Consider the following 25,586-nt stretch of genomic DNA (forward strand, 5'->3'; position numbering starts at 1 on the left):
GAGAGAGAAGTCGATGGAGGATTTGGGATGTTTTTTTTTTGTTTGTTTTTGTTTTTTTTTTTGCAGGAGGAGCTGATGGATCAGACATATAGGAGGAGATGAAAAGGAAGCAGGGCAGAGGTCAGCCCTCCAAAGTCCAGATTCTGAAGCCAGAAACCCCTGGCTGGGTGACATAGGGCCAAGTAACTCTAGCTTTCTGAGCCTAAAATGCCTCCTCTGGTCAGGGGTGGAGAAGAGGAAGAGAGAAAGAAAGAGGTAGGAGGACGGGGGCGGGGGGTGGGGGGGATGGGGAGGGAGGAGGACGGGGAGGGGGGAAGGGAGAAGGAGGAGCGGCAGAATAGAGCCTTCTAATCGGGTAAAGGAGACCTCCTCAAATCTCTTCAGTTCTTCAGAGTCTACACAGGAAGGCTCCCATCCAACAGCACTCAGAGAGGTTGAGAATCTCACCCAGTATCACAAAGCCAGTCAGTGGCAGCTCCAGGCCTCAAAGCCTGGACCCTGGCTTTGCCTTTGGAGACAGATTCTCAGCTGCACACCAGTCACCCAGATTCCTCAGAAACAGTGGGGCCAGAGGCCCCATTTTAGAGGCTCAGAGTGGAAGGCAGTGGAAGAGGTGGAGGCAGCTAGGGGAAGATGAGAGAGGGGTAGAAGGACAAAAGCCTGGGAGTGAAGACTGCCTTTACGTTCACTCCTCAGCTCAGCCCCAGACTGCCGGAGTGACCTTGGCATCTGTTCTCACTGGCGAACAGCGGCCATCCGCAGTGAAGGTCTGACCCTGAGTCTCCAGGGTCGGTCCACCTCCCACAACCCAAGTCCACGGAGGACCTCCCTCGTGGCTCTGCACAGCCTGGGCACAGCCAGCAGAGGGCGCCACCTCAGCCACAGTGAAGCCCACATTGCCCCAGCGCAGGAACAGCCCCAGGAGGAGGCCCCGGCTGGCAGAGGCTGCCTTGCCTGCTGCTTAGCTCTCAGGAGGTCAACTCCCAGGCGAGCCGACCACAGACGCAGCAGCCAGGTAGAGCCTGCATCTTGCTGCCTCTGCCTGTAAACATGTCTCTGAACCTCTCTGAGCCGCAGTTTCCCCATCTATAAATGGGCCTAACAATAGTGCCTGCCTCATAGGGTTCTGTGAGGAGTCAATGAAGATCAGCCACATAAGGGCTGAGTTCCTAGCAGCTGCCATTTTTATTAGCAGTAGTGGCAGTTGTATCATATCTTAAAGCGCCTGACACAAAGTGTGTCCAATCAGTGGTAGCTACGATGACGACAAAGATGATGACGAGGATGTTGCAGGGACTCGGTCATTGCTTGTCTCAAATTTCCTCACCAGGGTGTATCCAGTGCCTGCCAACCTGGGATGCCTCTAGTGAGGGGCATTGCTGCCTTCCTGGCAACACTGCCAGACCATCCTTTTGCTGAAAATTGCCTCCTGGAAGCCATCCCCCTACCTGGCCCACCCAACTCCCCGCTCAGGATGATGCAGCTGGCCCAGCCTCTGGCCTCAGGCCCCTTTGTTAAAAGTCTGCATGAGAGGTCTCAGAGAAGGCTGGAGGACAGATCCAGCAGCTGGACTCATCCCTTTGCTGGAAGGGAAGGGAACCCGGGTGGCTTCCCAGGCAGGAGATTCTCAGTGGGTCTTGTTCTTGCTGCTCAAAGTTCCTTTTCTGCACACTGGGAAGAAATAAGTGAAAGAAAAAATCCCTGTGTTGTCTAAACCTCCCCTCATACCTCCGACCCAGGAATGGCTGGAGGCTGAAGAGGGAATATGATGGCCCAGAGTGACAAGCCCAGGAATGCTGGCATTCTAGTTGGCTCTGGTCCCACCTGCTGCCAGACACACCCATCTGTGTTTGTGGGTCCCGGGGTGAGTGCTTATGGGTCTGGCATCAAGGGGTCTGGTGAGGAAGGCAAGAGTCCAAGGCTTGGAGCCAAACAGTTTGGGCTCACACATTGGCTCAGCCCCGCACTACAGTGTGACCTCTGGCAAATCACTCTCCTGGCATCCATCCCAGCGTGGTGTTTGGGGAACACAGGAGATGTTACATGTGAAGAGGAAAGCGCAGGACCTGGCACGTGCTAAGTATCTATAAATGTTGCAGTGGGTATTATTATAAAGTGCAAGTCCCTCATTTCCCCGAGATGCTCTCTGCATCTGAGTGGGCCAGGGTGGCTGTGGGAGTGGGTTATGTCAGGCAGGATGATGTTCTGACCCACTTCTGGGTCAGCGGGCCAGGGCTTGAAGCGCCATGCCCGTGCCTGCATTTGCAAGGGTGTGTGTGTGTGTTTGGGAGGAGGAAGGGGTGTGCATTGGATGTGCATGTGTGCAAAGGTGTGCATATGCTTGTGTGCATGCACCAAAGGCTGCCCCATCCCAGGCATTCCTGGGGCAAATGCATACTTGCAGGTACCAGTGCAGTCTCCCAGCAGTGATTCAGGAGGCCCTGCTGTTCACTGTTACTATGGAAACAATGAGGCAATCCTCAGCCTCCGGTAGATCCTAAGGTGCCAGGAATGAGAGCTGGCCTGGTCTTCCCAGGGAGGGAGACAAATTGGGAGCACAGGGTTCCTGGGATAGGGCAACCTCGGACTCCGGGTGGGGTTCTGGAACTCTGGGTACCCCTGGACCCTCTGGGAAGTCTTCTCACTCCTCCAAGGAAGCCTGGCCCACTGGAAAGAGCTCGGAGACAGAGCTGGGTTCTAGCTTGCCTCTGGCTCTAACCCCATGCATAGTCTCAGGGAGGGAACTGGGGTGCCAGCAGCAGTCTAGAGCTGGGGTGTGACCTTTCCTCTCACTAGGGCACCTGCCGGCAAAGCTGTGTGAATGTGTATCCCAGAGCCCTGAAGTGTCACGGAGCAGCCTCCTTCACATGCACTACCCTCCACAGTGTCTTGTAGGTTCCCCACAGCAGCTCTGCAAGGGAGGCAAGGCTCAGCTACATGCACAGTCCCTCCGCCCCCAGAGCCACACCACACAGGTGGCTGGGAATTCCAACCACTTTTCTGGGTCATGAGGAGCAGGCTGGGAGGAGAATCCCCCAGGGCTATGGGCAGTGGATGCAGCGTTCAGCCTGGACAACCCCAGCAGAGCTGGGCCGCTGGAAGGCTTCTGGGAGGCAAATCCCGGTTTAGGGGGCACTTTTTAATTTTTATTTCACTTATTTATTTAGAGACAGGGTCTCGCTCACTGCAACCTCCATTTCCCGGGCTCAACAATCCTCCTGGCTCAGCCTCCTGATTACACACCCAGCTAATTAAAAAAATTTTTTTTTTGTAGAGATGGGGTCTCACCATGCTGCCCAGGCTGGTCTCAAACTCCTGGCCTCGAGCAATCCTCATGCCTCGGCTTCCCCAAGTTTCTTTCTTTTTTTTTTTTTGAGAGCAATCCTCATGCCTCGGCTTCCCCAAGTTTCTTTCTTCTTTTTTTGAGATGGAGTCTCGCTCTGTCTACCAGGCTGGAGTGCAGTGGCACAATCTCCGCTCACTGCAAGCTCCGCCTCCCAGGTTCACGCCATTCTCCTGCCTCAGCCTCCCGAGTAGCTGGGACTACAGGCACCTGCCACCAGGCCCGGCTGATTTTTTGTATTTTTAGTAGAGACGGGGTTTCACCGTGTTAGCCAGTCTCGATCTCCTGACCGCGTGACCCGCCTGCCTTGGTCTCTCAAAGTGCTGGGATTACAGGGGTGAGCCACCGCGCCTGGCCCGAGGAAGTTTCTTTTAAAATCTTAATTTGGGGCTGGGCTTGGTGGCTCACGCCTGTAATCCCAACACTTTGGGAGGCAGAGGCGGGTGGATCACAAGGTCAGGCATTCGAGAACAGCCTGGCCATCATAGTGAAACCCTGTCTCAACTAAAAATACAAAAAATTAGGCCAGGCATGGTGGCTCACACCTGTAATCCCAGCACTTTGGGAGGCGGAGGCGGGCGGATCACCTGAGGTCAGGAGTTCGAGACCAGCCTGACCAACATGGAGAAACCCTGTCTCTACTCAAAGTACAAAATTAGCCGGGCGTGGTGGTGCATGCCTGTAATCCCAGCTACTTGGGAGGCTGAGGCAGGAGAATCACTTGCACCTGGGAGGCAGAGGTTGCGGTGAGCCGAGATCACGCCATCTCCAGCCTGGGCAACAAGAGCAAAACTCCATCTCAAAAAACAAACAAACAAAAACCAAGAAGCCAGGCATGGTGGCGCATGCCTGTAATCCCACCTATTTGGGAGGCTGAGGCACGAGAATCACTTGAACCTGGGAGGCGGAGGTTGCAGTGAGCTGAGATTGCATCACTGGACTCCAGCCCAGGTGACAGTGCAAGACTCCGTGTCAAAAAAAAAAAAAAATCTTGGCCGGGCACGGTGGCTCATGCCTGTAATCCCAGCACTTTGGGAGGCCAAGGTAGGCAGATCACAAGGTTAGAAGATCGAGACCATCCTGGCTAACACGGTGAAACCTCGTCACTACTAAAAAAAAAAAAATACAAAACAATTAGCCGGGCGTGATGGCGGGCACCTGTAGTCCCAGCTACTCGAGAGGCTGAGTCAGGAGAATGGCACGAACCCAGGAGGCAGAGCTTGCAGTGAGCCGAAATCGCGCCACTGCACTCCAGCCTGGGCAATAGAGCGAGACTCCGTCTCAAAAAAAAAAAATCTTAATTTTGACTCAAGTCTCAAATATCCTCCATGTCCAGGTTTTAATACATTCAGACAGAAGGGAATATAAAGTTAGAAGTGAAGACTCAGCCTCCTGCCCTCCACTCCACTTCCAAGAAGTGACTGGTCCCTTTGCCATGACCCAGGAATGATTTTCAAACGGTCCCGTCCAGGATAGACCAAGAGAAGTGGCAGGATTGAGCTCCCCAGCAATGGAATTATGGAAGAAAGATCTCAATGTTTTGATTACAGAGGCTGTGAAGGGGCCACTTCTAATTGAGGGGAGCAGAAACAGGGCAGGCCTGGCTGGGTGATCTCAGGCAAGTCACTGTCCCTCTCTGGTCAACTCCTGAGGCCCTTCCAGCTATGAGTTGCTTTCACCAGCAAAAAGAAAAGTGACTACTCTGCTGGGCAAGTGTGGCCTGGATGTGACCCCAGATGCTGGCATTACTTCACCCATCCCACCAAGGCCAACTCCCATATGGGAGAGATTAGGGCTGAGAGAGGGTCAGGGAGCCCCTTCATCTGGTGTGGGGAAGATCCTGGTCATCCGGGGCAGGGGTTGCTGGGCTGGTGGGACATTATTAGGGGAAAGGAAGGTAGAGGGAGAAGAGATGGGGTGGAAGGTGAGGGTTAAGGCATGTCTCAGAGAGCCTCTGGTAGGCAGCAGGGAGCCATGGAAGGTTATTAAGCAGGGAGGAAGGTAATCAGATTTAGAGAAACTGATCAGAGCAGGGGAGCTGTGGGAAGGCCAGAGCTGTAATACCAGGCAGATATGACCAGGAAGTGAGTGGCACTGTGGAGAAGAGGGCAGGCCTGAGACCTCCTCTGCTACAATGGGCCGGACTTGGGAAGAAGGCAGGTGTGGGAGTGAGGAAGAGGGAGGGGTCCTAGATGGGGTGGGGCCTCAGCCTCCTTTGGTGGATGGAGGGGGCCCAAGGGCCGGACAGGCTGTGGGAGAAGGTGATGGGGTGACCACTGGCAGGCTTACGTCAGGGTGTCTGCGGGCTTCTGGCAGCAAGTCCCGGAAGTGGCTGGAAAGGCAGGTTTTACAGAAAATGGACCAGAGGGGTTGTTTTTGCCAACTTTCCCCAAAAGACAAAAGGCCATGCCAGGATTTGAACCTGGATCTGTCACCCCGGGAAATCTGTACTCTCATATTGAGGAACCAGCTAAGATGCAGCACTTTCTCTATCTCTTGGGCTCCCTGACAGTGGACTTGGCATGGAACTGGGTGCTTTTACCCAGGAGTCAGGGCTCTTCTTGGGGACCCATTGGAGCCATCTCCATCTTGCAGAGCTCAGCAGCCTCAGGGGCTCTCCCAGCAGGATCTTCAAGCCTAGACTTCTGTTTGGAGAAGGACCACCTCAAGCAGCCCCAGCCTTCCTGATCTCCCAACACCAGGGGTTGCCTAGGAGCCACGTGGAGCCCTGTGAGTACTGACAGCCAACATTAGCTGGGCACTGACTGGGCGCAGGCGCTATGCCAGGCACCTCGCAGCTCCCTCCCTCTTAATCCTCACAGCAGCCCTTCCAGTGCTATTATTATTGTTTCCATTTACAGACCAGGAAACCAACCGAAGCTTCCAGAGGTCAAGGACCTTGTCCCGCTCCTCTACGGGGTGGGTAACGCTGCTGTGTGACCTGGGCTCCGCATATAAAGTGAGGGACTTTGCTTGAGGGCCCCCAGCACCTCACACTCCATCCCTGACTTTGGGTCTGCGGTTCCAGCTCCCAGGACTTTCCCACCTCCCGCCCCAGCGTGCTGTTTCTTAGGGCCCAGCTCCCTTGGGAACAGCCAGGCCCGTCCCCTCCCCCTCCCGGGCTGTGCTCCTGGCAGCTCTGCCGCCCTAGGCTCTGGTCCGGGGGTGGTCCCTGGCAGAGAGGGGGCTGGGCAGAAGATGGGATGCTGGCGCTGAGATGCGGGGTATTCGGAGACCCCCAGGCCCCCACCTCAGAGCCCGCTGTGCTCTAGGCTGGGGTGGGCAGGGCCTTTTGGAAAGGGGTGGCTTGGGGTTTTAATCACTTTTTCAATGTTTGTTTGTGTAATTCAGCCCCGAAATGCTTTTCCCTCCATCTGTCCCACCATCTGCTCCTGTCAGGATTTTCCAAACCGTTTGGGACCAAAGAGGCAACAAGGTGGGGGATGGGGGGTAGGGGATGGGGGTAGGGTGGCTGGGCCTCTGAGGGGGCTGGGGAGGGGCCACCTTCACCCACTTCATTGAGAGGTTTCCAGAGAGGGCCTGGGCTCCTGAGTCACACAGAACTGGGTTCAATTTTTTCTTTTTTTAGAGACAGGGTCTTGCTTTGTTGCCCAGGCTGGAGTGCAGTGGCGCAATCATAGCTCAAATTCCTCAAAATTCCTGGGCTCAAGCAATTCTCCCACCTCAGCCTCCCAAGTAGCTTAGACTACAGGCGCCTGCCACCATGCCCAACTAATTTTTGCTTTTTTTTTGAGACGGAGTCTCACTCTGTTGCCCAGGCTGGAGTGCAGTGGCGCAATCTCGGCTCACTGCAAGCTCTGCCTTCCGGGTTCACGCCGTTCTCCTGCCTCAGCCTCCTGAGTAGCTGGGACTACAGGCGCCCACCACCATGCCCGGCTAATTTTTTTGTATTTTTAGTAGAGACGAGGTTTTACCATGTTAGCCAGGATGGTCTCGATCTCCTGACCTCGTGATCCAACCCCCTTGGCCTCCCAAAGTGCTGGGATTACCGGTGTGAACCATCGCGCCTGGCCAATTTTTGCATTTTTTTGTAGAGACGGGGTCTCACTTCGTTGCCCAGGCTGAACTTGAACTCCTGGCCTTCAGTGATCCTCCCTCCTCAGCCTCCCAAAGTGCTGGGGGTATGGATGTGAACCGCCACACTTGGCCAGAACTGGGTTCAAATTCTGACACTGTTGCTTTCTTGCTGTGTTACCTCAGACAGGTGACTTTACTTCTCTGAGCCCCAGTTTTCCTATCTGTAAAATGGCAGTTAACATTATTGATTCCTCAGAATCATTGAAGATCCAGTGAGGTGACGTGTGCAGAGAACTCTATACACTATAGGTGCTTGAGATATCACGTCTCTCTCTCTCTGGCATCCCAGGAGCAGTTCTGTCCCTCCCTTGGTAGTGCTAGAGGAGGGTAGTCGGCCCTGATTTATGTGCCCTCTCCTGCCTCCTCAGATGCTGGGGACTTCCCCTCCCCTGGAACTTGCTCGCCCTTCCATGGACCCTGCCACTGCCTGGCTCTCTCAATTACCTGCCTCTGCTTCTACCCCACCCCTGCCTCTCCCTCCTTCTGGGTGCCTCAGTCTGAGGTGGGAGGGACTAAGTATCACCAGCAAGGACACAGCCCCACACACAAGAGGCTTCCAGGGTCAGGAGGCCTCATTCATTCATGCTTACATCACCTGTCTGAACTCTCTGCTCAGAAAGGGGAAGAGACTTGCTCTGGGTTGTCCAGATCGAGGGACCCAGGCCCGCTGCCCAGCTGCCCCTCAGCCCCCCTTTTCATGGCCATATCTTAGAGCACTAGGGCTTGGACCAAAGGCCGTGTTGTGCAGTGTGGGGAGCCCTGAACCTTCTTTGGCTGTTGGGGGGTGGGCTTGCAATGCTTCTTAGTCCCTCTGAAAGGTGCAGGTGGCTGATGGGAAGTAGCAGCAGAACCCACTAGGGCCCACACTCTGCCTCCAGAACCACCTACACAGTCTAGGTGCAGGGAAAGACAAAGGCAGGAGGGGCTCATGGGGATGCGAGACATGGCCTTGCCTTCCAAAACCCCTATCTACTGGGGAGACAGAACACAGACTGGGGGTCCGAAGGCAGGGCACCAGAGTCACCCTCAAAGAAGAAAGGTGGTTGGTGGTGGGGGTGGGGAGAAGTCAGCCCCTGAGGGGGTGAGCCTGCAGGAGGCTGAACTGGGGAAGTGGGGAGAAGGCAAAGAGGGAGCTGAGCAGCCCAAGATGGGGATAAACTGAGTCCCCCAAGGATAAAGAGGAGGATCCAGACCACTCAGGAGAGAGAGGAAGGGGTGATGGGGGAGGGGGCTGAGGAGGTGAGGGAGGGTGGGACCGTCTCCCCGACCCCAGCACAGCTGGCCCCCCAGGCCTGGTGGGGAAATGGGAGGGAGCTTGCCACTGGAGGGCCCTGGGGTGGGGGCTGAGCAGCGAGTCTCTCCCAGCCCCCAGGTCCTCACGCAGGAGGCAGCTGGGAACCACCCACGCTCATCTGGTGTCTCTCACGCCTCCACTGGGGGTCCCAACATCAGAGCCAAGGCACACAGTGAAGCCGGTGTTCCGGAGAGCCCAGCTGTCCCCACCCCACCCCGGCTCCTCAGTTCCTCCAGCCGAGACCTCCCCACCTGCCTCCAAGCAGGAGGGACTAAGGCTAGACTCTGAGGACTTGAGAGGCTCAGTCTGGGAGCCTGGAGGCGGAGCCCTGGGGTGCCAGGAGGGGCTGAGCTGCCGATGCTGAAGAAACTCTGGGCTGGGAAGGGCCCTCTGGGCAGATGGCAAATGCTGCCGGCTTTACCTGCGAAGTAAATCCAGAAACCAGACCCACCCCGGCCATCTCTCAGCCTGAAATGGCCCCTTCTCCCACCTTGCCCCCAACTCCTCAAAGTCTCTTCTTGACATAATAACCCAAGGAAGCTGTCCACATGGAGGTCACACCCTCTCACTCTGCTCAAAGCCCCCCAGGACTTCCCATCTCATCTGGAATAAAAAGCCTAAAGTCATTGTCATAGGCCCCAAGGCCCTGGATGGCCCCAATGGCAGTTACCATTCTAACTGCCACACCCAAATCCCAACGTTTAAAAACACATGTCTAATATCGACATGTATATTGTGTCCATTGTTTATTGTCTGCGCCTGTAGTCCCACTATCTAGACAGAACAATGCTGGCCGCAGAACTAGTGTTTTATATGTATTTGTGGAATGAATGGATGAGGGCGCACACACTGGAAAAATCACTTAACCCCTTTGAGCCCATTTCTTCATGGGGACAATAAGGACCAACCCCTAGAAATGGAAAAAGGACAAAATCTCAGCCCAGCATGCGGAGAATGTTGCTGAGGCTGGGGGCAGGAGGAGCTGGGCTAGGGGTCATCGACTCTGGAGAGGAGCTGTGCGGTCGGCAGGCAGTGGGTAGGTGCCACAGGATCCCCAGGCAGATGTTCTGCCCTCCTGTCATGGCCTGCACAATCAGAGGCTGGGGAGGGAGGAAGGGAGGGGGTTTCCTTGATTGGAAGGGGGAGTGGGAGGAGCAGCTGACACCAAAGTTGGGAGGTGGGATTAATTCTGAGAGGGGGGTCGGGGTGAGGTCTGGAGTGGTGGGTTTGACATGGGGGCCGGCTCGCCAAGGTGGAGGTGGGGAAGGGGGCGTGTCTGGTCCCCTACCCCGAAGACCTCAGTAGCTGGAGGAATGGGCGCTCCACGCTCCCAGCTCCGTTAGTTGGGAGTTGAGGCGCAGGAGCAGGGAGGGTGCCCAGGGTGCCAATTCGGCCCTCGAAGCGACGTGCGGCTCAGAGCCCAGGTGGGTATGGGGAAGGAAGCGGGGCGGAGTGGCCTGGGATCGCCCCCGGCTCAGGAGAGAGACCTCTTGGCACTACCGTGTCCCTCCATTCCGGCCACCAGAGCCGAGGTGCCGAGGAGAGGGGCGCCGCGATCCTCCTCCCCGGGCAGGGTGCTCCCTCGAGGGGGACCGGGGAACTGAGGGCGTCCCCTTCTCTCCGGGGCGGGGGTGGGGGGCGGAGCCCAGCGCGCCGCTCCCCAGCCCCCAGGGCTGGCGGGGACCCCCCCAGGGGAGGGGCTCCGGGTGAGCGCTGCGGGGCGTCTCCCTCGCAGTCCCGCCCGCCCCTCCTGCCGCCCCTGCCGCGCGCGCCGCAGCAGCGCCGCCTTCCCTGCGCAGTCGGTGTCTCCGCGTCGCTGGGTGAGTGGGGGCAGCTCCAGCCGGGGCCGGGGGATGAGGGCAGGGGGTTCCCGGAGCTGGGGGCCCACGTCCAGGGCTTCCCAACACCGCCGCTCCCGGGCTTCCCGGGAATCCTTGCCCCGGGTGGCGGGGGCGCTGGGGACTGGGAAGCGCGCGGTGCTCTCCAGGGTCCTGACCGCCGAGTGGCCGGCCCCTAGGAACCGCGTTCGACCGCCCTGGAGCGCCCCCTCCAGGAGGGGCCACGCGCCGGGCGCTGTCCTAGTGCTGAGCGGATGGAGGCGGGGGCTGGGGGACAGAGCTGAGGGAGGTTTGGAGCGGGTCCCCGGGGCTGGCTTCTCAGGTCGAGCTGAGGGGGTTCTTCCCATATGGGGGACTGGAGGTCTTTGCGGGCAGCTGAATCTTCTTGCAACCGGGAGGGGCAACTCCGAGGGTGGCAGGGCCCAGGGGGCACTGGAGGAGCTCTCTTGCTCCGCGCATCTCTCTGCCCCCACCCCGGTGACCCAGTTCCTTGGACCTTGAGGAGGGCAGTGCGGGACATGCCCCAGCCCTTCTCATTTCCTTAGCCCTTTCCCACTCACTTGTCCGGTGGGTCCTTAGCCTGGGCCATAAGAGGCTGGTCTAGAAAGGAGGGGCACCAACTTACAGAAACATGCATGTGACACACCGCCGAGGACACACACGGGTCCTCCAAATGGCCACACGGGCTCATTCCCTCACGCTGTGACGGGTGCATACCTGATCACATGCACATCTGAGGCACATGCAGGGACATAGATGGAAAGACACGGCAGGCAAATGCAATGCAAAAACCAGCGGCACACATCATGCATGAGCACATGCACTCACAACACACCCATTCACATGTGTGCAGAGCTTCATGCACATGTATGCACAAGGAGGCCCCTCCTTGCCCTAAGTGGGTGGGGGTCACCTGCACACACGCCTACATCCTTGTGCAGAACTGGCTGGCTGTTTCCTCTTCATTGCCTTCTACTCAGCCTCCACAATCTAACCTGCACTCAGGGGACCTTTCAGGACTAGATGAAGGGTAAGTGTTGGGGAGGCTTGGATGGGCTTGGTGGGGGGTCTCCTTGGAAAAGGGGCCCCGAGCAGGTCTGGGAAGGTTTGCAGCTCCCTCTCCTGGGACCTGGCAGCACCCCTGGGAAAACAGAAGGAAAACAAAGAAAAATGGCAAGGGTGCCTGAAGGTCCCACGTGCAGCTGGCCATGTGAGAGGTGTCGGCATGCGAGTTGGCGTGTGATGGCATGTGTGAGACATGTGGGGTCGTGGGCTGGTGTGTCTTGATGCACAGGGTATGGGAGTTGTGCGTGGTGCCATGTGTCGATTCGTGTGAGTTGTGGAGCAGAGGGAATGTCGTCATGTGTGGAGGCATGCTGACCCATGGGTGGGCGTGGGCTGGTACGTGAGTGGCATGGGATCCAGGGTGTGGATCTGGTGAGCTATGAAGCATACAGTTATCGGTATACATTCATTTGCACAGTTTTTGCATGAGTTTTGTGGCACCTGGGTATATGTAAGTCATTTTTATTTATTTAACATTTATGTAGCACTTATCTATGCAGCCATGGTTCTAAGTGCTTCACACATATTAACTAATTTAATCCCCAAAACAATCCTCTTAGGTAAGTACTGTTATTACCCCACTTTAAAGATAAGGCAGAGAGAGTTTAAGGAACTTGCCCAAGGTCACATAGCTGGTAAGAGGAGGAGCTGGGATTCAAACCTAGGTGATCTGACTCTGGAGCCCACAGTAACACCTCCCTCTGCTGCCTCTTGTTGGGCACACCTGTCAGAGGGAGAACAGGGCAGTGTCTGGGCTGCGGGTATATTCAGTGCTGAGCAGGCACATGTGAGGCAATGAGAAGGCAGTGGGTAGGACGGAGGAGGATCAGAAGGTTTTTCTGCACCTCTGTGGGCAACTCTAGGAGTCAGCCTCATAATGCCATGGCTGTGTGACCTGAAGCAGCCACCTCACGTCTGTAAGCCTGCCTTCTCATCTGTAAAATGGGGCAAATCCCCATACAACCTGTTGCGAAAGTGAATTGGTGTGCATTTGTGAAGGCTTAGTGGCTGGCACCTAGAAGGGCCTCAGTAAATGTGAACCACCCTTCCCTTCCTCCCTCTCCCAGGAAAGCGTATGGTCCAGGGAGATGGTGTGGAGCATGGCATAGATACAGGATGCCTGGGTCTAGGCTGTGTGACCTTGGGCCAGTTCCTCTCTTTCACTGGGCCAAACAAGAGGCAGGGATGGCTGTTGGCAGGGGGGCCCATCTGGAGCAGTGTCTAGTAGCCAGGAGGGCCTGATCACTCCTCTCTGCCCTTGACCCCCTTGGGGACCCAGGTGGGACTTGGCTCGGCGGCCATGGGCAAGCAGAACAGCAAGCTGCGGCCCGAGATGTTGCAGGACCTGCGAGAGAACACAGAGTTCTCAGAGCTGGAGCTGCAGGAGTGGTACAAGGGCTTCCTCAAGGACTGCCCCACAGGAATCCTCAATGTGGATGAGTTCAAGAAGATCTACGCCAACTTCTTTCCCTATGGTGACGCCTCCAAGTTTGCCGAGCACGTCTTCCGCACCTTTGACACCAACAGCGATGGCACCATAGACTTTCGGGAGTTCATCATTGCGCTGAGCGTGACCTCGCGCGGCCGCCTGGAGCAGAAGCTCATGTGGGCCTTCAGCATGTATGACCTGGACGGCAACGGCTACATCAGCCGGGAGGAGATGCTGGAGATCGTGCAGGTGGGCCCCTGGGCCCCTCAGAATGCCAGGCACAGGGCCCGGCAGCTTGCACCCACCACCCCTTTTGATCCTCTCAGCAGACCTCGTAGGCATGTGGTGGCAGGGGATATTCTTGCAATCCCATTTTAAAAATTGTTTTTAGGAAATATTTCCCATTTAAAGAAAAGTTGAGAAAACTCCCCTATACCCTCTACCCAGATTCACCAATTAACATTTTCCCACAGTTGCTTCATCATTATCAGTGTGTGTGTGCGTGTGTGCACACTAGTGTGTAACATTTTCTTGCTGTTCTGAACATTGGCCCTTTACCCCTGGATACATTAGGATATATTTCCTAAAAATAAGCACATTCTCTTACATAACCCATAATATGATTACCAAAGCCAGGATATTTAACATAGAAACAATGCTATTATCTAATCTACCAACCATATTCCAATTTTGCCAACTGTCTCCATAATGTTCTTTATAGCATTTTTGGCCCTGACCTGGGGTCATGCATTGCATCTAGTTCTCATGTCTCTTTAGCCCCCTTTAATCTGGAATAGCTCCTCATCCTTTCTTTATCTTTTATGAATTGACATTTCTGCAGAGCACAGTCCAGCTATGTCTAGTTGATCCTCATTTACACCAGAGGAAACGGATGCTCAGAGAGATAAAGGCACTTGCTTGAGGCCACACAGCCTGTGTGAGTGGGCCATCTGGCACCACTGTCTACATTCCATCTGGATACCCAGCCATCTTCTAACTAATTGATTGAGGGCCCACTATGAGCCTAGCATTGAGTGAGGTGCTCATGAGCTCAGTGCGTGCTTACAACAACCCCATGAGGCTCAGAGAGGTGAGGTGATGTGCCCAAAATCACACAGCACATAAGTGGAGAAAAGCTCTGGCTGGCCACTACTTAGAGCTGTCTACTGAGAGGGCTCTGGACTCATAGCCAGGAGGTCTGGCTTCCAGTTCTGGAAGTGGCCTTCAATCTTAGGTTGCTCATCTGTACGCTCATACTGACTTCACAAGGAGATTTAAGGACCGGATATAAATGCCTTTTGTTAGTACAAGTTTAAGTGTGCTGCATGTTAGCTTTATTTCAGAAACCACCCATCCCCTCAGCCCAGCCTTGAAGATGGCCAGGGCTCTGGCTCTATTTTATCTGCCTTTTTCCTAAGGCTTTACACATTTTTTCACCTGTAAAGTGGGGGTGTTAATCCCCTGCCTCACAAGGCTATTGCAGGGATAGAGTGAGATAAGGACTTGAGCGGAAGGCTTGGCATATAATTGGTACTTGGTAGACATTAGCAATTGTCTGTTATTATTTTCTCCTCTGCACATCCTCTGCTCTAGCCAGAAGGGCCTTTTCAGCATCTTTGAAATGTGCCCTGACTAATCCTGTCACGCAGCTTTGCACAAGCTCTTGCCCCCTTTCCTTCTGCATCTCTGAATCCTTTCCCTTCTGGTCCCTCAGCTCCACAGACTGCTGCCCCAGCCACTGCTGGACTCTTGACTTTGGCTTCTCCTCTTGCTAAGGTCTGGGTCTTCTCTCCAGGTGGAGATGTGATGCCCTCCCCATACCTATGGCTAGAGAGGGGAAAGCCCTAATGTTTGCCATGGACTCCTGTGAGCCAGGCATTTGACTCTTTAGTTGCTTGATGGTAGGGGGATCTGGGGGTCCTGATGGTAGGGCCAGGTGGCCAGAATGGTGGAGGATCACCCGGACATGGACAGCAGCTGGGTACTGACTATCTGAAGGAATGTTGGCATTTTACCACTTAGTGTGTTGCACTGGTGTGTACTGGTAAACCCCAGTCCTGCTGGAGCCACCACGCCCGGGTGTCAGTCAAGCTAGACCCATTCCCTGGGCATCCTCAGGACCCCTTTCTGGTGGCCTCTGCTATCCAGACCCTGGCTTCTTTTAGGGCGGCCCGGGGGCCCCAGACAGCTGGTGCACACAGAGCTCTGCAAGCCCCAGTGCCTGATTAATGACAAGTTGGCTCCCATGAAACCATGAGTAAGCAGCAATTCCAGACAATTAGTTAGGAGGCCCAGGAGAAGGCTATCACAGGGTTACTGGTCACTGGCCCAGTTCTTCTCAAGACCCAGCCCTCTGCCAGGTAATGGACACACTGGAGAGGAAGAGACTGCGCCTCTTGGGGCTCCCACTCTGGTGGGGGAGACAGATGTGTAGGTCACACTGACAAGCTCAGTGACAGGGGTGTAAAGGTGTCATCTGGGAACCAGGGGACTACTGAGTGGCAGGGAAGACTTGAGGATGTGGAGGATGAATAATGACTATAATATGAGCTGCTGTTTACTGACCACCCACTCTAGCCAGCCACGGTTCCTCACACATAATCTCATTTAATCTGAGGAAACTGAGGCTCACAGATACATATATGTCCAAGGCTACACAGTTAGTGAGTAGTTCAACCAGGACACCACTCCAGGTCCATCTAACTTTAGAAACTTGAGACTACCAGACCCCTCTATTCATGTGCTGGTCAGACAGGTAGTGATATCCAGTCACAACTGTGGCTACCATTCATTGAGCAGTTACTACAGACCGGGTCTAATGCTAAAGGCCCTGCTGATTATCACCACCCCACACTGCCCAAGCATCCCTCCAGCAGCTAAGAGGGAACAGGTACAAATCGAGTCTCTGCCATCAATTTCCTTCTGAGCCTCAGTTTCTTATCTGGAAAATGGGGATCATGATACCTGTTTTTCAGGGCTTGCGTGAGGTTTAGAAATAGTGCATGTGAAGTACTTGGCACAGAGCGGGCCCCTGATAAGTGGTACTTAGTATCGTTATTCCAGGCAAAGACTGTAAATGCTGGAGAATCTGAAGGGCCAGGGGTGTTTGGCTGTTGGCAGAATCACCCAGCCAGGGGAGACCTGATGGAGGAGGGTCAGCAGTGGACAGATTGTAAAGCGTCTTAAATCCCAAGGGCTGAATGGTTTGAACTTGGTACAGAGGGCAGTGGGAAGTGCCAATGGCTTTTAAATAGGGAAGTCCCTGCCTGGTCCCAGGTTCTGGGGATATGGGCATTAGCTAGACGTCCATGTTTGCAGGAACAACCCTGCAAAGACATAATTACTTCTGGAGAGATGTCTGCAAAGGAAAAGTCCGCCAGGCTCTGGGCCCATATGCACCCTGACCCAGCCTGGGTTGGAGAAGACCTCGCTAAGAAAACAGCTTGTAAACTGAGCCCCAAGGAGAAGTGGGAAGCAGCAGCAGGAGCTGGGTGCAAGGCGGGCCTAAGAGGAGGCCTGTGTGTGACGGGAGTGAGGGGGTGGTGTGCAGGCTGGGGACGTAACAGTGGAGATCTGTGTTCGGAAAGAGCTTTCAGAGGCAGCATGGGGGACAGACCCGAGGGACAGAGGCTGGAAGAGACCAGTGTGGAGGCTGAAGCTGGATCTGAGGCAGCAGAAGTTTATGGGATGGGAGAAGGGAGGCTTCTTGGAGGAAGTGTCGGTCGGGTAAAGCTGGAAGATTGAGGAGACAGGTTCGGTCCTTGAGCTCCAAGGCACTGCGACCCAGGCTACAGGCCAAGCCCTACGTGCTCTGTACATTTAGCGCAAGAACTCTCTTTCACGTCGCCTCGGGAGCTACTGCACGTGGCGGCTGCCGCCCTCTGCCCAGCCCAGCCTAGCCAAGCCTGGCGGTCCCTGCCCGCTGCAGATGCTCATTTGCATTCATTTGCATACTGTTCCCCGCCCCTCTGGGCCCAGCTGCCTCTGGCCCTCCAGCCCGCGCCGCGCCCCCTGCCGGCAGCAGACGGCCCCGCAGCGCAGTGCCGCCCCCTTGGCCCGGCGCCCCCTTTCGACCACCGAGCGCGGGCCGCCCTGGGCCCGGGTGCCAGCCCGGTACTTACCCCCGACGCGCGTGCCCCGGGGCACGCGCTCCTGAGCCCGCCGCTCCAGGCCCTCCACTGTCGGGCCCCGGTGTCCTCCAACATCTCTCCTGACCCCTGCGCCCGCTCGGAGCTTCCACCTGCGGCGCCTTTGCTCCTTTCCCACCCAGCCCTCCAAGGGAGCGCGGCAGGGCCCGCCCGATAGCCCTCTCTTCTGGGAGGCCTTCCCGGACACGCCTTCCCGAAGCCCTCGGCTCCCCACGCCTCCGTGATTCCCCACTCCACCTTGCCCAGGCGGGGGCAGCAAACGTCAGAGAGCCCGGGGGCGCCTCTGAATCTTGCGGGTGGGGGCTCGGGCAGGCTCCTCTCACTCCCCGCCTCCCCTCCCGCCCCCAGGCCATTTACAAGATGGTTTCGTCCGTGATGAAGATGCCGGAGGACGAGTCGACCCCGGAAAAGAGGACTGAGAAAATCTTCCGCCAAATGGACACAAACAACGACGGTGAGGGGCAGGGGCGGGACGGGGTGGACGGGGCGGGCGCCTTTCCCTCCCTCCCTCCCTGCCTCCCTTTCCCGCTCCGCCTCCCCTCGCTAGGCTGCCGCCTCCTCCCCCATCACCGCTCCCCTCGCCCTGCAGGCAAGCTGTCCTTGGAGGAGTTCATCCGCGGGGCCAAAAGCGACCCGTCCATCGTGCGTCTGCTGCAGTGCGACCCCAGCAGCGCCTCCCAGTTCTGAGAGGAGCCAGGTTCCCCTTCCTCCCTCCCTTCACCGGCCCCCTCCCGGCTCTTAGCTTCCACTCCCTTGTGTGTATTCTGGCTGGGGGCCAGATTGGGGAAGCCCTTCTCCCCGGGTCTGCCCTGTGGGGGGCTTCCGGAAAAGGGAACCCTGCGGTACCCCCAGGCCAAAGCAAGTAAGCGGTTAGCACCCCCCAATCCCAGAGGCAACAATAGAGACACAGGCTGGGTTGGTCTGCCCCTCAGTCAGGCCCCCTTACCCACCCACCAGCCCCAAGGCCCGACCCCTCCCCCAAAGGGGCAGTCCCCTTCTTGCAGGTCTCAGCTTGCGGGGTGGGGGGAGTCATGCCCAGGGGAGGAGACTTTTTATCTGGAGGGGAGAGAAGGATTCTAGGGGTGTGGAGTTGGAGAAAGAGGCTTCCTTGAGCCACCCTTCCCACCCCAGCCCTTGCTGGTCCCTAGGCCAAGCCACCAAGTGAAACCTTCCAGGATACTAGCCCGCCAGCTGTGGGCCCCAGAAAGCCAGCCTGCCTTTTAGCACTTGGATACACACAGACCCACGGAGCTCTCTGTGTTTGGCCTCTCACACACACACAGGCCCATAGACAGATGGGCAGATGCACCCAGAGCCCCATGCACAGTGTCCTGCGTGGGAAAGAGACACGGTCCCCCTGGCTGAGCCCCTGTCCTCCCCTCTGTCCCCCCAACCGCCCCCCCTGCATGCAGCCAAATGGAGCATCTCTGTTCTTTTTAATAATTTCAGAATAAAGTCTCATTTCAGTGCAGTGGGCTGGGTGGTGGGGGAGAGGGTTGAAAGCCCCACTTGGGTCCCCGAGGGTCCATTGAGCCCTCTCAGGCCAGCTCCAGGAATCCTGGCCTGGTCACAGAGCAGAGTTGCTTGCAGGGTCCTAGTGGCCATCGGGCCTGGGCAGGACATCATCTCTCAGAGGGTCAGAGGCTCAGAGCTGGTGCAGCTCAGCAGGTCACGGCCCTCCACCAGCTCTGGGTTCTCCCGCATCTGCAGAGACACAGGAGGCTGCCAGACCCACTGGTTCTCAGCCTGGGTCTCCTCCTCCAGGACATCCGGGAAATGGAAGGAGGTGAGGGCTGGAAGGCTCTCTGGGGGCAAAGGGGCATCACTACCCACTCCACTGCAAGAGCCAGGCCTGACCTTTGCAATGCCCTCAGTGCGAGCCCAGACACCCCTGCCCCTCCCTCAAGACTCATCCTGGGCCCTAGGAGAGCCAGGTGTCAGCTGTGTGACTCTGCTGGGAGATCTCACCTCTCCCAGCCTCCAGGCCTCTCCCTTTGCTCCTGGGGAGAAAACTTCTGCCCCATTTCTCAAGGTGGGGGCCCATACATAGGGGTGGGGCAGAGCAGCTTGGGCACCCTGGCAGGGGCTCCCAGGAAATTCGGGGAGTCAGGGCTGTGGAGGGAACTTACCATGTGGTGGCTGCTTTTCCCCCACCAGGGCCTCAGCTCCAGCAGCTGGTGGGTGAGCTGAGCACAGCGTACAGCAAACACGTTCTCCGCCACGCAGAGCACTAGGGCGATGCCCCAGAGGCACAGGCTGGAGCTCTGCGGGGCATGGGGCAGAGATGGCTGGCTGGAGTTGGGGGTGGAGGGTGGATTCCAAGAGCCCTTCCCACCCGTGCGAGGGCCTGGTGCCCCTACTCCAGGCCTAGGTACTCACATAAATGCGTGTGGGGTCGAAGGGACAGTCAGGTGCGAGGGCCAGTAGTTCAGAGCTCCCAAAAGTGCAGGCAGCCAGCAGTGCCTTGCCCTGGGTGGCAAAGGTCATGGCGATGGAGGCCAAGAGGCCGAGGGCACAGGTCAGAGAAAGGAGAGCACAGGCCACGCTCGAGCTAAACACTGTCCAGCGCTGGACGGGGGAGGCCACTGGTCAATGGGCGTCGTGCTTGGCCCCCATGGGCAGCTCTGGCCTCCCTGAGGGTCAGCCTTACCCTCTCCAAGGAGGCCAGGCCCTTGGCGGGTGGCTGCTGCCCCTACCCTTCCCTCACAGCCCCATCCCAGGAGGCACCACGTACCAGGGGGGTGCTAGGGAGGTAGCGTGACAACACGATGGCTGCGATGCCTGAAGTGATGACCTGTAGGGAAGGCTCAAGTCAGCCCTGACTCCTTGGCTGGAGGAACAGGGGCAGGGGGATCAGGGCCACTCTGGGATAATGATCTCACCGGCGCCAACCATTGCCCTCCAGACTCCCCCACCCCTCACCTGCTGCTTAGCCTGGGCCTCACATCTCCATCTGCCTCCTCATAGTCCAGCCTGACATGATGTTTCTAAAACAGTCACTCCCTCTCTACAACCTTCCATGAGTCCCCACTCCTAAGCCTGTGTCTCAAGCAGGTTCATGTATCCTGGGGCCACCGGGGCATGCCAGGGTATGCATGGGACACCCCTTTCTGGAATGAAAAAGATTGTGGAAGAAACTAACCCAGTTAGCAAGGAACTAAAATCAAAATTGTTACATTGAAACAAACCAAGACATGTTATGGAGTAGAATTTTAAATCTCTGGGAGTATTTTCAATGATTCCAGGCTCTCAGTGACCAGATCCCAGCCCCAACCCTGTTGGCTTCTCAGCCCTACCTGGGCTACCTTCCTCCCTCACTGCTCTGGATGTGGATGCCCATACACAGCCTGCTCAGGACACTGCCCATGCACCCTCTCACCTTCCTGCTCCTCTGCCCGTGTGGATCCTGCAAGCCCTGCTCAGGTTTGCACACGTTTCCCTAACCAGCCTCGATCCCAAGGGGTGGGGCTACCCCACAGTTCAGCCCAACAGCTGCCCTCTGGATCTTTGGGGTCCACCCAGCCAGCCTTCCTCCTGATGTTCCTCACTGGACCAGGCTTGGGCCGGACCCATCTGAGGCAGGTGGTATGACGGGGTCCTGGGTTCCAGGCCTAGCATGTCTTTAGTTCACATGAGAGCCACAACAGAGTGCCTCATCTCTGTGGGCTTAGCCCCACTCTGCAGGATGAGCTGACAGAAAGGACACTGGTTTTGGTGTCAGACACAAATAGTTTCCAATCTGGTTTGGCTTCTGTGTATCAGCAGGAGGTTGGGTGAATCCCTGAGTCTTGGTTTCCTCTTTTGTGAAACAGGTATAATAATGGCCCCCAGTTGCTGGGAGAAGTGAGGATTAACCGAGTAAGTGAGGGGAAGGCTGAAGTGGTCCAGCTCAAAGTCCATCCTGGTGGACCTCCTCGCCCTGAGCTCACTGCCTTCCCTGCCTTCCTCACAACAGTATTAGAGGAACTCCAAGGACCCTGCACACATCCGCCCATCCCAGCCCTGTCCCACCAACAGAGCCTCTCTTTCTTGCTGGGACCTATGACTCCCATTCTCCCAAGCCTTGAGGCCAGCAGGCTGTCTGAGCTTTATTTTGCAAGGGAGGAACAGGCCTAGAGAGAGAAATAAGTCCCTCAGCCAGGAGAAGGCAGGGATGGAACTCAGACACTGATGTGCGGGAGGATCTTCCCCCGAGGCTGTGGCCACTTGTGCTGACCGGCAAGAAAGAGCTTTAGAAACTTGAGACTACCAGACCCCTCCATTCATGTGCTAGTCAAACAGGTACTGATATCTGGTCACAACCGTGGCTACCATTCATTGAGCAGTTGCTACAGACCGGGCCTAATGCTAAGCTCCTGCCAAATTGGTTTTCTCAGAATCTCCAGAACAGATCTTAGTCATTTCCACCTCCAACCTTCCCGTCTCCCATTCTCTGTACTCGGAATGCCATCTCAGCTTCCTTTCCTGCCTATGCTAGCCTCAGCATGCCAATATGTAGGTTCTGGTCATGGCAGCCTGTCTGTGAACTCCTGCTCATCCATCAATACCCAGGTCAGAGGCCTGCACTCTGTGAAACCCTCCGGCACCCTCCCAAGCTCACCTCCTGCTCCTTTCTTCTGTCCAGTGGTGCTGTGGCTATTCCTCGATGTAATAATCATCCTAGCTCACAGTAGTGGGTGCTAACAACATGCCATGCCAGACACTCTGCTAAGCACTTTGTGTGGATGATCTCATCAGTACCCATTAGGACCCTCAGAGGTAAACACTGTTACCATCTCCATTTGATAGATGAAGAAGTTGAGTGACTTGGGCAGTTGGTAAGTGGCAGACAAAGGGTTAGTCCTTGAGGCTGTCTGCTTACCACCACAGGCTCTGGGTGGGGACCTGTTGAAGACCCTTCAAGCCCCCTCCAGCCTCCTCCCACCAACCACCCTCCCAGCCTGGCCATACCACGATGGCGGAAGTGACAGAGAGGATGTTGACCACGCAGTACTGCAGAGCCACCGCATCTTGAGGGGTGCCCACGTAGCGCAGCACTGTGCCATGGAACAGGGCAGCTGTGATGAAGCTCACATGGCCCAGCACCACCAGCACCAGGCCTGTCTTCATCAGCACCTTCCGGAAGTCGCCCACACTCAGGCCTCCTGTGGGGGACAGCTATGTCAGGGCTGTGCGTGGGGCTTATCCTGCTGGGCAGAAGGGGAAGCTGAGGCCCTGGCCCTAGTGATGGACATTGGGTTCTAAATGTATTTCTGAATGACTTGGAGCCAGTAACTTGTCTTCTTTGAGCCTTGGTCTCCTCATCCATAAAAGGGGTTCGGGATGCCTTTGTGAGAATCCTTGGGACTCTAAGGCTGGACAAGCACACAGGTAGCTCTTAGCAGTAGCACTTGTTAGTGTTCAAGGTCATGAGTGGGGGGCGCTAGCTCAGGTCTCTAGCTCTAGACTTCGAGATCCTCCCACTAAGCTACCCATTCACTGATTCGTGTGTTCACTACACATGTTCACAGAGTGTCTGCTCTGTGCCAGGCCCTGGGGTACGACGGTGAGCTCCACAGTCACTCTCCAGGCCACAAGGAGCCAGAGTTCATTGGGCAGGAATTGGGCCCTGCTTGGTACTCAGATTCACGGATAGGGCCTGGTACACAGCAGATGCTGACACTGCTGCTGAACTGAACTGCCCAGAGCCAGGTGACTTGGGGAGGTAACTCAAGGCTCTGAATCTCCATGTCCCCATCTGTAAAATGGGAAGAAGAACCTTGTCTCTCAGTGGGTCCATGAGGAAGTGGATGGGAAAGTGTGGTGTACCCTGAGGGTACTGGGAAAAGCAAGCTCTCAGTGCAGGGGGAACCTGGCAGGATGGAGTGAGTGGGGGAAGCTGGGATCAAAAGAACACTGGGACTCATTCAGATGCTCTCAGTGGCCAAGTGGCTGCCCAGCCCTACCTGCACATGCCGGCTCCCGACCTGCTGTCTGAAATCTGCCCATAAGTCCTAGCTCTGCCTTCAAGGAGACACACCACACCCCCTGGCCCTGCCAGCCCCTCACTAGAGCCAGCTCTGAGACTTGAAGACTGTGGTCAGGCCCTAGAACTAAACATCCCCTTCTTTAGCTGCTTCTGATGGGATGTGACTCTGAGTCCCTTCCTAGACCTCCCTCTCCTCATCTGTGGTAGAGCGGTTTGGTCATATTTAATATACGGTAGCTCTGCAGCTGAAAAAAAAAAAAAAAAAGAAAAAAAGAGGCTGGGCACAGTGGTCATGCCTCTAATCCCAGCACTTTGGGAGGGCAAGGTGGGAGAATCACTTAAAGCCAGGAGTTCAAGACCAGCCTGATGAACATAGCAAGATCCCATCTCTACCAAAAAGATAAAAATAAAAAATTAGGCAGGCATGGTGGTGCATGCCTCTAGTCCCAGTTATTCAGGAGGCTGAGGCAGAAGGATCTTCTGAGCCCAGGAAGTGGAGGCCACAGTGAGCTATAATCGTGCCATTGCACTCCAGCCTGGGCTACAGAGCCAGAGACCCCGTCTAAAAAAAATGAAATCTCTACACTGGACGCTCTGGGACATCTGTCTGAAGCTGTGCCAAGAGACAGTCCCCAGGGAGCAGGAAGGGATGGGGCTATTCAGTCACAGACTTGCTGTGTGACCATGCACCAGCCCCTCCCCTCTGGGCCCCAAGTTCCACATCTATAAAATGGGGAGGCATTGGTCCAGCCAGTGTCTGAGACCCCTGGAGACTGCAGGACCCTCTGGAGCTGAACCAGGTCTAGCAGAAGCAGAGGGCAGACGATGGGCTGGACAGGCACCATGAGACTGGAATAGCATTGTGAAGATGGACTGCCAGCCAAGCAGGAAGGGGCATGGCAGCTTCAGCGCAGGAGCCTGACCCACCTCACCCCCTCCACCCACCTACCTGGGAGCTCGGTGTCTACCTTCCAGCTGAGGGCTGGACTCAATAACAACAGCATCCCAGGACCAAGACTTTGGTCAAAGAGGAGGCACGGTGCCAGCATGGGGCTGTGCCTGGAGCACTGGACTGAGCCTGGAGCAGTCCTTGACTTTTTAAATTAAATTGATTGAGACAGGGTCTTACTCTGTAGCCCAGGCTGGAGTGCACTGGCCTGATCGTGGCTCACTGAAACCTCTGCCTCCTGGGCTCAGGTGATCCTTCCACCTCAGCCTCCTGAGTAGCCGGGCTAAATTTTTTTTTCTTTATTTAAATTTTTTGTAGAGACGGATTTCACTATGTTGGCCAGGCTAGTCTCTCCTGGACTCAAGCGATCCGCCTGCCTCGGCCTCCCAGAGTGCTGCCTCCCAGATGAAGCCCAGCTGGCTTCATTTGTCTTACCACTGTGGGAGCGCATAGCAGCGCAGCCGGCAAGGTGCTAAGCGCTTTACTCTTAGAAGCTGCCCTCATCCTCATAGTAGTCCTAGGAGGTGGGAACTACTGTCCCCCTCTTACAGACAAAGAAACTGAGGCTCACAAGGTCTCTCGGCTAGACAGCGGGGATGCCCCAGGACTCTGCTGCCCACAAGCAGCATCACCGTGCCCAGGCAGTGGAAGGAGGGGGCACATTAGTCCCGCTCCCCCGCTGCTGATCCTTTTTGCCCACGGCTTTCCTTCCTGGCCTCGGGAGAGTGGAGAGTATGTAAGTGGGAGCCCCTTGTAAGGGTGGGGAAGCTGAGGCCTGGCCCCGGGGTCCCTTCTGGGTAAGATGGGGCTGCTCTCTCCAGCGTCTCCTCTGCCGCCCACCCGGGGGTCCCCGAGGGCAGTCGTGCGCCTCCGCAGGAAAGGCAAGAGAGGGCGAGGGTAAGAGACGCTACAGCCACATCGAGAAGACACCCGCAGCGCTCCTCCCCTCCATTTCACTGCTGGGGAAACTGAGGCCCAGAGAGGAAAGTGACCCGACCCCGGCCTCGTAGTAAGTTAGAGGCAGAGCAGGTGGCCTGGCCCCCTGGGGGCTCGGGTTCCGGGCTCAGTGCTCCGCTCCTGTGGGAGGGTTGGGGTGGTTCGGGGCCTCCCGCGCGCCCCCAGTCGCTCACCGAGGCGCAGACACATGTCGGCTCCGCGCTGGTCCCGCCCCCGGCTTCAGCGCGGCTCCCGAGGCTGCGGGCCGCCGGGGGACCCTGCTCCCATCCCGCTGGCCCGTCGCCCGCGCGCCCCGCACCGTCGCGCTCGCCCACTTCCCGCCCGGAGCCCGGGGCTGGGCGGCGCCGGACCGGCCTCCCTTCCCGTCACCCCCCGGGCCGCCCGGCCCCGCAGCGCCCCCGCGGCTCGTGCCCCTCCCGGCCGGTCGGACCGGCTGAGCAGCCCATGGCCCGCCCGCTGAGTCAGGCGCCGCCCCGCCCGGCCCGCCCGGCGCCGAG

General features: G+C 56.7%; 2 protein-coding genes and 1 long non-coding RNA gene across 10 annotated transcripts, besides 8 other annotated features; 2 read left to right on the forward strand and 1 right to left on the reverse strand.

Moving 5' to 3' along the window:
* Positions 1-8: 8 nt before the first annotated feature.
* On the forward strand, positions 9-6,765 carry LOC105378631 (uncharacterized). Of its 2 annotated transcripts, none has more exons than XR_947160.4 (3): positions 9-255; positions 5,939-6,073; positions 6,205-6,765. It is a non-coding gene; the product is annotated as an uncharacterized LOC105378631 (long non-coding RNA). The 2 variants fall into 2 exon arrangements; XR_001737962.2 differs by lacking the exon at positions 9-255 and adding an exon at positions 367-1,015.
* Positions 658-827: an enhancer, noted in NCBI's record as "experimental_6918 CRE fragment used in MPRA reporter constructs". NCBI's record gives its function as "activates a minimal promoter by MPRAs in K562 erythroleukemia cells, with activity observed for the introgressed 1:33342304 variant allele {active_cell/tissue: K562}" and the evidence as "EXISTENCE:reporter gene assay evidence [ECO:0000049][PMID:34662402]".
* On the forward strand, positions 10,036-18,686 carry HPCA (hippocalcin). 3 transcript variants are annotated; one of them, XM_005270792.4, is made up of 4 exons: positions 10,036-10,159; positions 12,918-13,316; positions 17,564-17,669; positions 17,805-18,686. In XM_005270792.4, exons 2-4 carry the CDS (start codon positions 12,939-12,941, stop codon positions 17,900-17,902), a joined length of 582 nt encoding a protein of 193 aa, XP_005270849.1. In that variant the 5' UTR covers positions 10,036-10,159; positions 12,918-12,938; the 3' UTR covers positions 17,903-18,686. The 3 variants fall into 3 exon arrangements, with proteins under 3 accessions (XP_005270849.1, NP_002134.2, XP_016856607.1); NM_002143.3 differs by lacking the exon at positions 10,036-10,159 and adding an exon at positions 10,531-10,555; XM_017001118.3 differs by lacking the exon at positions 10,036-10,159 and adding an exon at positions 11,538-11,603.
* Positions 10,650-10,739: a silencer, noted in NCBI's record as "silent region_609". NCBI's record gives its function as "represses an Ori minimal core promoter by ATAC-STARR-seq in GM12878 lymphoblastoid cells {active_cell/tissue: GM12878}" and the evidence as "EXISTENCE:reporter gene assay evidence [ECO:0000049][PMID:35858748]".
* Positions 10,820-10,869: a silencer, noted in NCBI's record as "silent region_610". NCBI's record gives its function as "represses an Ori minimal core promoter by ATAC-STARR-seq in GM12878 lymphoblastoid cells {active_cell/tissue: GM12878}" and the evidence as "EXISTENCE:reporter gene assay evidence [ECO:0000049][PMID:35858748]".
* Positions 11,125-11,294: an enhancer, noted in NCBI's record as "experimental_6924 CRE fragment used in MPRA reporter constructs". NCBI's record gives its function as "activates a minimal promoter by MPRAs in K562 erythroleukemia cells, with activity observed for the non-introgressed 1:33352771 or rs1284371 variant allele {active_cell/tissue: K562}" and the evidence as "EXISTENCE:reporter gene assay evidence [ECO:0000049][PMID:34662402]".
* Position 11,210: a transcriptional cis regulatory region, noted in NCBI's record as "Neanderthal adaptively introgressed variant 1:33352771 (GRCh37/hg19 assembly coordinates) or rs1284371 in the experimental_6924 CRE". NCBI's record gives its function as "modulates activity of the experimental_6924 enhancer by MPRAs in K562 erythroleukemia cells {active_cell/tissue: K562}" and the evidence as "EXISTENCE:reporter gene assay evidence [ECO:0000049][PMID:34662402]".
* Positions 17,033-17,212: a silencer, noted in NCBI's record as "silent region_611". NCBI's record gives its function as "represses an Ori minimal core promoter by ATAC-STARR-seq in GM12878 lymphoblastoid cells {active_cell/tissue: GM12878}" and the evidence as "EXISTENCE:reporter gene assay evidence [ECO:0000049][PMID:35858748]".
* On the reverse strand, positions 18,635-25,429 carry TMEM54 (transmembrane protein 54). Of its 5 annotated transcripts, none has more exons than NM_001329724.2 (6): positions 25,263-25,429; positions 22,166-22,359; positions 19,950-20,009; positions 19,595-19,684; positions 19,345-19,479; positions 18,635-18,919 (listed from the first exon to the last, which is right to left on the reverse strand). In NM_001329724.2, exons 1-6 carry the CDS (start codon positions 25,276-25,278, stop codon positions 18,845-18,847), a joined length of 570 nt encoding a protein of 189 aa, NP_001316653.1. In that variant the 5' UTR covers positions 25,279-25,429; the 3' UTR covers positions 18,635-18,844. The 5 variants fall into 5 exon arrangements, with proteins under 5 accessions (NP_001316653.1, NP_277039.1, NP_001316651.1 ...); NM_033504.4 differs by having other exon boundaries at positions 19,595-19,783; NM_001329722.2 differs by having other exon boundaries at positions 18,635-18,973; positions 19,595-19,783.
* Positions 19,456-20,054: an enhancer, noted in NCBI's record as "H3K4me1 hESC enhancer chr1:33361017-33361615 (GRCh37/hg19 assembly coordinates)". NCBI's record gives its function as "activates a minimal SCP1, AML or CMV promoter by ChIP-STARR-seq in primed H9 embryonic stem cells {active_cell/tissue: H9 hESC(primed)}" and the evidence as "EXISTENCE:reporter gene assay evidence [ECO:0000049][PMID:30033119]".
* Positions 25,419-25,558: a silencer, noted in NCBI's record as "silent region_612". NCBI's record gives its function as "represses an Ori minimal core promoter by ATAC-STARR-seq in GM12878 lymphoblastoid cells {active_cell/tissue: GM12878}" and the evidence as "EXISTENCE:reporter gene assay evidence [ECO:0000049][PMID:35858748]".

This window comes from Homo sapiens, chromosome 1 (genome assembly GCF_000001405.40).
Source record: "Homo sapiens chromosome 1, GRCh38.p14 Primary Assembly".
Taxonomy (NCBI): Eukaryota; Metazoa; Chordata; class Mammalia; order Primates; family Hominidae; genus Homo; species Homo sapiens.

Bases quoted from the DNA above. Each gene is read 5' to 3' on its own strand.
- HPCA (XM_005270792.4), top strand. From the start codon at position 12,939: ATGGGCAAGCAGAACAGCAAGCTGCGGCCCGAGATGTTGCAGGACCTG. The intron at 13,317-17,563 runs GTGGGCCCCTGG...TCCCGCCCCCAG, and splicing joins AGATGCTGGAGATCGTGCAG to GCCATTTACAAGATGGTTTC. The intron at 17,670-17,804 runs GTGAGGGGCAGG...CTCGCCCTGCAG, and splicing joins AATGGACACAAACAACGACG to GCAAGCTGTCCTTGGAGGAG.
- TMEM54 (NM_001329722.2), bottom strand. The intron at 20,010-22,165 runs GTATGGCCAGGC...CCTTCCCTACAG, and splicing joins CTGTCACTTCCGCCATCGTG to GTCATCACTTCAGGCATCGC. The intron at 19,784-19,949 runs GTACGTGGTGCC...TCCCCCGTCCAG, and splicing joins ACCTCCCTAGCACCCCCCTG to CGCTGGACAGTGTTTAGCTC.